Source organism: Homo sapiens, chromosome 4 (genome assembly GCF_000001405.40).
Source record: "Homo sapiens chromosome 4, GRCh38.p14 Primary Assembly".
Taxonomy (NCBI): domain Eukaryota; kingdom Metazoa; phylum Chordata; class Mammalia; order Primates; family Hominidae; genus Homo; species Homo sapiens.
Window position 1 is genome coordinate 29,500,585 of NC_000004.12, and position 10,198 is coordinate 29,510,782.

At 31.2% G+C, this 10,198-nt stretch overlaps 1 non-coding gene across 1 annotated transcript; it reads left to right on the plus strand.

The window, feature by feature from the left end:
• The first annotated feature begins 10,050 nt into the window (after positions 1 to 10,050).
• On the plus strand, positions 10,051 to 10,153 carry LOC124900885 (U6 spliceosomal RNA). Its single transcript, XR_007058519.1, has one exon. It is a non-coding gene; the product is annotated as a U6 spliceosomal RNA (small nuclear RNA).
• Positions 10,154 to 10,198: the final 45 nt, after the last annotated feature.

Below are 10,198 nucleotides of genomic sequence, written 5' to 3' on the forward strand. Positions count from 1 at the left end.
AACCAACTTCATTACTGGCCATTTTAGCTCCTTTCTGGTCTTTGCCATATGCTCATATTCCCCAGGACCTTCAAGTAAACAGCTTCCTCAGCCGGAAATATTCTAAAATGATTTTGAATTAGTCCTCACGTTAGTGACATTTCTTCAGAAAGCCTTCCTGTAATCTAGGTTTGTTTGCATTTGTTTTTGGATCCTAAAGCCTTTTTATGAGGATGAGGGAGTAAAGGGATGAGAACTTGGCAACTAATGTTTATGGAGCTCTGACTATATGTCAGGCATTCATTAACTCTTTTAGTCATTACAACAACCACTTGAGGTTGATGCCACCATATTATAATCTCAATTTTCAAACTAACTATTAGGCCTTGCTTGTACTAACTGGTCCAAAGTGACAAATCTAGTAAGCGGCAAGTAATTACTTCATGCCTATGTGTCTTTCTTACTAATCCTTTACCTCTGAGAGAGCAGTGGCTAGTGTCTGTCTTCCTTATCTTTGTGTATATCTTGAGGCTTGGTAGAGCAGATAATTAATAAACATTCATTAAATGATAGAATTAGGCAGATAACATGATGGTGAGATAGCTTTTTTATGCATATCATAAAGAGTGTCATGAAATATTGAAAAACTTTCTGGTGAGAATTTCACATTTGTATTTGGTTTGAATTAGAACAAATAAAAAAAGATGTGTGTTTACCTGAGGAAGCTGTCAATGTAGCTCAATCCCAAAGAGTAGTAATTGAATACATGATTCTTAGAAAGGTAGTTGTGTGAAATAGGTGAGATAGTACTTATAACATTGTTGGTGGGGTTAATTATTAGCCTTGCTTTGTTGACACTACTAGATTAAAAAAATGTAACAAAAACTTCTAAAAGTATCCTTCTATTAATAATATAGGTAATCTTGTTAGGTTTTCTAATTTGCTTTAATTGAATATTTTTGTTGCATAAGAAATAAACAAAACAATATTGTCATAATAATCACAGTCATTATGGAGAAAGCAGAAAATACAGACAAGCAGTAATAAATAAAGTGGTGACTGGACACAATGCAAGCATATAACCACTGTTGAAATTTGGCTGTATTTATTTTCCTGTTATCTAATAGGCAGATTGAATTACCATAAATGTGGTGTTTGAATCAGCCTGTTTATTTGGGAGGCCCAAACAACCTGAAATCTATTTCAAAATTGTATGCCTGGAAATATTGCAGCAGCAAAGGTTGATGGTTTGTATCAGCATTTCCTGGAGATTTATTTGAAAACAAATGTTAAGAACTAATTCTTTATCAATGCCAATGTCAAGGCAATAGACTTCTGGGTATGTTTTGTGCTTGGCTAATGTTAAAGAGAGGAAGTGGAAAAATGTATTTTTTTCATGTACAATTTTCTAAACAATGAAATTTTCATAATATTTTATTTACTATTGATGGCTGGATTAAATACTAATAGTCTAATAGACTCTTTCAATTTGAAATTAGTTAATCATTAGCATCTTTACTTGATTACTACTACTATTATAGGTTTTTTGACACCATGTAGACATATTAAACTATATATATTTTATCTCTTTCTCTATATATAGATAGATATATTCGTTTGACAGTTTATTTTTAATGCCTGAAAGTTATGCTATGATTCTATTGTAGTTTGATGGCGAAGTATTTGTAGTCAGTTGTGCATTTTCTTCCAAATGCTTTTTAACATTTTTAGCTGAAAATTTATTTTCTTAGGATACCGAATTTCATTGTCGGAACAATTTTTCTCCCATTTTGTAGAATGTCAATAAAGTCTAGACTTCTGTAGGAATTCTAGTTTGCAATCAGAGTTACCTTTCTACCATATAGCAGCAAAAGCTCTCCTTCAAGCAATTTAGAAAGGCATTTCAAGACAACAGGCAGCAAGATAGTTTCTCTCAGTATAGGCAGTATTCTATTGGTAAGTGATTTATAAGGCTGTGCATCTACACAAGTGCTCAATACATCTATGTGGAGTTTCTAATTTGTTCTGCAGACCCAGAAGTATAGTCATACTACAAAGTGTAAAACATCTATTTTCAAATTTCTAATAAATGAAAAGTCAAGGACTAAACAGTAAGACATGTACATTAAAGAACATTGAATACAATTAAAATTGATATGAATAGTAACTTTTCCCAATTTTATTTTGAAAATATAAAACTGCATTGATAATGTTTTTAAAAAATTATCTTTAACAGATGATTAAAAATTATATTATATTAATTCTTTAAGAAAATATTTTTAAATGATAGCAAATTAATTATATAGTTTCCAGCTTTCCAGGCAACTGGAATTGTGTGAAATGTGGGAGAAAAAAGGTAAGTAGTTGAACAATACTAATTGAACAAAGCATTTTTGAGGTCTCTGAATAGAGGAAGCAATATAACATGATAACTAAAATAAAACTGACAAAATAGGTCTGGAAAAAATCCCGGAGGTCTTTGTGTTTCCTTATGTATTTTCCTTTATATATTTTAAATTTTTATGTATGATTTTTTCTTTATTAGAAAATATTCAAACAAAAATATACAAAATAATATAAAACCACTGTGTTTTTGTATTATTTTGGAATTTTTTAAGTAAAAGAAACAGGATAAAATATATAAATTTGAAGCTCCCCTTCCTTTCCCTTATATTATACAGAACCAACCAATAATAAAAATGAAATTCCAATTGTTGATGCTATTACTAGATAGGAATGTATCTATAAGCAATATATATTGTTGATTGCACATGTTTGATTTTTTTGAATTTTTTTTTTTCAGAAATGGAGTTTCTGTCACTCAGGCTGGAGTGCAATGACACGATCATAGCACACTTCCACCTTTAACTCCTGGGCTCTAGAGGTTCTCTCGCCTCAACCTCCTGAGTAGCTGGGACTGCAGACAGGCTCCACCATCCTCAACTATTTATTTTTATTTTTATTTTTATTTTTACTTTTGAGTTATGGGTCTTGTTTGTTGCTCAGGTGGGTCTCGAACTCTTGGCTTAAAGTGAACCTTCCACCTTGGCCTCCCAAAGTACTGGGATTATACACGTGAGCCACGAAATGGGGCCAATGTTTCATTTTTATGTCAAAGTTCTGATATTATAATTTTGCAGTTTAATTTTACTTTTAATAAGTTAAGTTCTAGGTCTGTTTATATTGCTATAAATAGATCTAATTTTTACAATTTCATGTGGTTCATAGTGTTTGATAGCATAAATAGATAACCATGAATTCATACAATTTTTTCCTGCTACTCATCGATGATATATACGTTTTTAAGTTTACAAATAACAAGGCAAGGTCTTGTCTCTGCCTCCTGAGTACTTATGTACAAGTGTTTCTCTGGAGCTTGATGCCTATTTGCTGATTCAAACTTTATAATCTTTTTTCTTTTTTAGCTTTATTAGCTGCTGGAAAACTGATTCTGAAAGCTGGACACATGTTTAGTCTAATCAGCAACATAAGAGCATTCTTGACTCTGAGCATTACCAAAGGAAATACCAGGTAATGTCAAAGCTTTTTGTTTTGTTTTGTTTTTAAATTTTATATTAAATTGGTAACTCTTACTGTGACATTTAACTTAAATTTTGAAGCAGACAAGTGTATTAATCATTTAATATAAATGTTCTTATTTTGTCATATATGTGGAATTTTTTCTACCCAACAGCTCAACATAGTATTCTGTGTCTGTAATCCCAGCACTTTGGGAGGCCTAGGTTTGTGGATTACTTGAGGTCAGGAGTTTGAGACCAGCCTGGCCAACATGGAAAAGCCTAATGTGTACTAAAAATCCAAAAAGTAATCAGACACACACCTCTAATCCCAGCTACTGAGGAGGCTGACGCATGAGAATAGCTTGAACCCAGGAGGCGGAGGTTTCAGTAAGCCGAGATGATGCCACTGCACTCCAGCCTGGGCGACAGAGAGAGACTCTGTCTCAAAAACAAACAAACAAAAAGTATTATCTTATATAGTACAATAATAGATGAATAATTAATTGGATGAATATATGCTTGTACAAAGTGTGTGTGTGTTTGTAGAGAATCTTCCCCACTCACCTGCTAATTTAATAACATTTTGTAGTAATTTCTGATGTAATGTATATCAATTTTCCATTTTTTGTTTTTCTGTTTCACAAATTTACGGACTTGTGGTTTTCTAGTTTGTCTGGTTCTTTAAAAAAAAAAGTCTTTTGAATTTTGATTGAAATAGCATTGAATTTATTGAGTAACTGAATTGTTTTAAACATTGAGTACTCACATCCCTGCATATAATTATTGATTCATCCATGAATTGAATATTTTGTCAAGTACCATTTGGTAACTATTTTGTTAGACTCATATTTAAGTAACATTTGGGAGTAATTTTTATCATATTTTTATCATATTATATACAATGTTTTTACTGTTGATGTATAGAAATGCTACTGCTTTTGTTTTTATCTACTTTTTTTTTCATTCACTCAACCTTGTGGAACTCAGTATGTTTTTAAATAGTTGCTGATAGATTTGTTTGACTTTTCTATATACCTAATTGTATTTTCTGCAAATAATAATTATGTTCTTTCTTTTTTATGACAGTTTTCTTAAGTTATGTTCTCAAGTATGTTCTATTCTTACTCTACTGGATGGGACTTTCAAGATAACATTGTGGAGGAAATCAATTATAGATATATTTGGTCTGCTTTTTTCAAACTCCAGTTATTTTCTAACATCATTTATTTATTTGTGTTATTTTCATCTGCTAATTCAGCCAAATTAATTAAATTTTAAAATTGTATTTTATTTTTTCCCAGTTGTAAATGTTTATATTTTATTTATATATTTGTTTATTTTCTAGTTAATATTTTTTATTTTTAATAGTGGTTGGTATTTGTGAAAATTAAACATAAAATCTGGATATAAAACAATATTGATTCTGCATGGTCAATCATTTTCATTTCAAATGGGGGTGGAGAAAAATCACCATTCTTCTTATTAAAACATAATAGTATTACTAACATTTGCTGAGCACTCACTATGTGCCAAGTACTATGTTAAGTTATAATTTTACATGACTACTTTTTAATATGCATGCATGAATTAACCAATGTCAAGGTAATCATTTTTTCAATATTCTGCCAAATAACAAAGTTTAACTCCCTTCCTCTCACAACTTCACTACTTTAATTTGATCTTATTGACAACAATCATAATGAATCTCTATCTCTCATTTTTTAAGATGAGCAAATATTTAGATTTACTAATAGGTGTACAGAAATTTTCATTCACCAAAACTTCTTCCATCATGCTTTATTTCAAGTTTGATTTCTTTGTTGAATTTAAAATTTTAAATTTTTAAATATAAAATTTTTTTAATTCTCTCAATAATTCAAAGAATTGAACTATCACGTATTGATTGCACTAAAAGTGTTGTATTTCTTTAACTCATAAGTTAAATTTAAATAGTAACTGACTCAACTAATATTTTTTAGTATCTTCTATATGTCAGGTATTGATGTAGGTGCTAGGGCTGCAACACTGAACCAAAAGGCAAAACTATATGCAAAGAGCTTATAATCAATTGAGTCATTATAAAATAATAAGATGTACAATATAGTGTATGCCTGATTCTTATTAAGAGAAATAATAAAGAAGGGTAGAGAATCCCTGGGCACAAGAGAAGCAATGCCATTTTAAGACAGGATGGTTGAGGGAAACCTACTTGATAACACGGCATATGAGTGAAAACCTGGTAATATAAAAGAGTCAGCCACGCAGTGATACAAGTGCACAAAGCATTGCAGAGAGGTTGAATGAGAAGGGGAAAGCTTCTAATCATTGAGGAGGAAGAGGACAGTTCCAAGTTGAGTGTAGTTGAAGTGAAGTAAAGTAAAGAGGAGAGAGTAGAAGAACTAATAGAAGTTGAATTCAGAAAGCCATTAGCTTTTGAGACCATGTAGACCCAGTCCAATGCCTAAGGTGTTTGGCTTCTAGAGGAGTAACATGAGAAGCCATTCAATCGTTTTGGAGATTGGAGTGAGGTGATCTGATTGTCATTCTAAGAAACGGTTTTATTTTGCACATTTTTAACATATGGTTAGAGAGGAACATCTAAGGGGATACGAACAGCGGATGTTTGGAGATATAATTCTGTAGCACAGGGAGGAATCAGGGTTGGACCAGGGTTGAAAAGATTCAGTACGTAGAAAGTTGTTGAAGTACAATAAGGGTATAAGAATACAAAATTTGGGCATTTGAAGATAGGGGAACAGAGGATAATGGACAGGAAACATCAGTGCTCACATGTTGGTAAAGGACGTGGAAGCCGTGAAGGAGTCAGAAAAGAAGTTTATAGGTTTTCCTAATTATTCTCCTACGATTTTCTAAATTCTTTTCATCTCTTCACTCAAGTGTTTTGTTTATTATTATTTGCAGTAATAATTTTATATATTTATGGGAAATGAATGATGTTCTCTTATATGTTTACATGGTGTAATGATTAAATGGAATCCTGTTTTTTTGTTGTTTTATACCATTTCTTCTCTTACACACTTCACACTTTCTCTTCACTTTCTAAACTTCTGGGACAGGTTTTCTCAGCTACATGGTACCTATGAAATTGCAGCTGCCACACTCCTCAATTATTGCTAATGGCTCCATGTGCTAGCTCTCACTCCACACCTTATTTCAAACTTTTATTATAAGGGTTTTTAATAGCATTGGCCATTTTACAACTCACTCCTATATAGGTTATCTTCTCCTTTTGTTCTAGAGCATTACCTTTTAGGTGGTTTACCACAAAGACATAAATACCAATTTTCTTCATAGTTCTTCTTTCTTTGCCCATTTATAAAATTATATTTTATTCACTGATATAAACTACATAAACAACAAATGCTCAATTTTTCAAGCTGAAAACTGGGGGATTTTCTAAATTTCCTTGTTTTTCATTTCTTACATTTAGTCCATACCTACTTTTTTTCATTCTGCCTTGGAAATAATTCTCATATCCTTTGTGTTTCTCTTTCTTCACCCTAGCACACATCTATCTGTTCAGGGTAAAATTTCCCATAGCTTGTATTATGGGCCACTAATTATTTGATTCTTAATAAAATGTTATATAAAAATGATTTCTCTTTTTAAAAAAAAGGAAGAAAAAGAAAATAAAGATTGGGAAGTGCATTAAACAAACAGATACATTTGTTAATTGTAGGATACTTTTAGACTACTTTTAGAATACTTTGTGAATTGCCAAGAGCCCCATAAAGTATGAAGTATTTTACAGAACCTCTTTCTTGTTGAGAATCTCACAGGCAAATTATTCTGCTCAGAGCACACTGTGAAACTCTGAATTCCAGAATTTGTTGCAATAGCCTCAGATTTGCTCTCCTTTCAGACTGGCTTCCCCAAAACTTTCTAAGGTTTTAGACTAATTTATAAATCTGATTATTTACTCCTTTGTTTTAAGCCACTCAAATGGCTCTTTATTGCTTATTTAGGATAAAATCTAAAATCTTGTGTGATCCAGACTTTGTCTAGTGTTCTAATTTCATTCCACTACTCTCTGTTAAGCACACTGACCTTCAACCATATTGAACTATTTGAAATTCCTGAACTCATTCTGTTTTTTTCACATCTCCGTAACATTCATATATTTTTTTTACCTTCTTATAAAACAGCTTTGTCCCTCCTTTCCTGTTGGCTAAGTTCCATTAATTGCTGCGTATCTATTGTTTCTTGGGAATATGTTCTACTTTCCTCCTCACAACTCGAAAATATTTTGTGCTTTTCTGTTGTACTCATAACTCCCAAGCATACACCATCCATTATACTCACATAAAAACTCTTTTAGTAGAGCCTCATAATATTTTGTTAATGTGTCTTTTTCTTCAATGAAAGTAATTTCATAAGACAAAATCTGGTATTCATGTGGAAGGAATGGAGTCAATAATATATATATATATATATATATATATATATATATACACACACACACACACACACACACACACATGTGTATATATACACACATATATATCTATATATAATTTGTTGACCGGGCGTGGTGGCTCGTGTTTGTAACCCCAGCACTTTGGGAGGCTGAGGCGGCCAGATCACCTGAGGTCAGGAGTTCGAGACCAGAATGACCAACATGGCAAAACCCCATCTCTACTAAAAATACAAAAAAAAGATTACCCGGGCTTGGTGGCACGTGCCTGTAGTCCCAGCTGCTTGAGAAGCTGATGCATGAGAATCTCTTGAACCCGGGCGGCAGAGGTTGCAGTGAGCCACGATTGAGCCACTGCATTCCAGCCTGGGTGACAGAGCGAGACTCCGTCTCAATTTTAAAAATATATATAGAGAGAGTATATATTTTTAATTGAGACAGAGTCTTGCTTAATATATATATATAATATACATATAGTAATATATAGTATATATGATAGATATTATATATAAAACAGCTTTTTCCCTCCATATAATATACATTATATATAATACATTATATATAACAGCTTTGTCTCTCCATATAGTATATGTATATTCTGTCTGCCATGAATTTAGAAACTGTTTTTATATTATGAGTCATTGCCCCTGTTAGTATTTTAGTGGGCACTTTCCAATTCTGATCTCTTTTCCTTTGGTTAAATCACACTTGGAATAATGTAGTTAGAAATGTAGTGCATCAATTTGCTCCATTTCTGTTTGCAGGTACTTTGCACTAAATAGTTATTTGCTAATATTAATGTGTGGTATTACTTGATTCTTCTTCCTCATATGTACTATTATTAATATTAGGAAGCATCTGTAATGATCCAGGATTTAATTTCAATAAAATTTGACACACTTATTTTTTAATATAATTATATTATATATGATATTATATGTCACACTTATCTTGCGTGAATGTTAAATAATGTTGATCTAACAAGCTGTTTAACTGGTTATGTTTTACTTTATTTGAAGTACTGTAAGTGAAAATCATTTTATAATGTTTATGTTTTATTTTGTAATGAAAATAGAAATAAAAATGTGAATATGACAATGAAACATCTGTATAAAATACTTATTGTGGAGAATATAATTTGGCAAGCAAGGTTTAAGTGTCTAAATTTTTATCCATATGCATTTCTCTAAGGAAACTCAATTTCCAGGCAGGCGGCTGTACTACATGATTGTATAACTTGCCTAATCTAATATGACATATGAATATATTAATTTTAAAACAACTTCATTGCATGTATCATTGGCTACCAGTCATTTTTAAATGTTCCCCAATAATGGTGTGATAGAAATTCTGTTAACTAGTGTGCATTAGATTGAATGGATTTACGTCCTGAAGACTTCTAGCTGGTTTAATAATGCAGGTTAAAATGTTACACTAATACATGTATAATACCAATACATCTTCAACATCATTGTGTCTTGTGCCTTTAACAAAACTGGTTGAGATGTATTCTAAAGAAAAAAAATTAAACAGAGTTTGATTAGAAAATGTATGAATTTAATAGGTCAGAATGTTGGAAATATACATATTCCTGTCTTTAGAAGAAAAATAGATCTATCTAATCTAATCTATCATCTATCTACATTTCTTTATATTATTTTCACATTATTTTAATGAACTGAAATGATTTTTAAACTAATTAAATAATTGTTAGACTTTATCAAATATTTAAATAATTTAGAAATATAAAATAAAATCAATTTTAAAAGTTGTATGTCTTAAATATTGTAAGTATTATCTAAATCTTAGATATAACTTTATATTAAGAGCTGAAAAGAAATACCTGGAAATTATCTTAATATGATTTTTTACCACAACATTATTTGTGGTGGTAAGATTTGACCAATCCATTAAAATAAAATGGCTATTGTAGAATGAGTAGATAAACTGTGGTACACATTTTTGATGGAATAATTAATAGATAAAACACCACAAATGTAATCTTAAATGTATCCCTCTAAGTGAAGGATGGTAATCCTAAAAGACTAAATATTTTATAAATCTACTTATAGGACATTTTTGAAAAGGAAAAAATACAGGTTTAAAAGCTGGTCAGTGTTGCTTTGGCAGCTCATATACTGAAATTAGAATAACACGGAGATTAGCATGGCCTCTGCTGAAGAACAACATGTAAACTCATGAAGCATTCCATTTTTTTGTTTGCTTTTTGTTTTGAGACAGTCTTGCTCAATCTCGGCCCACT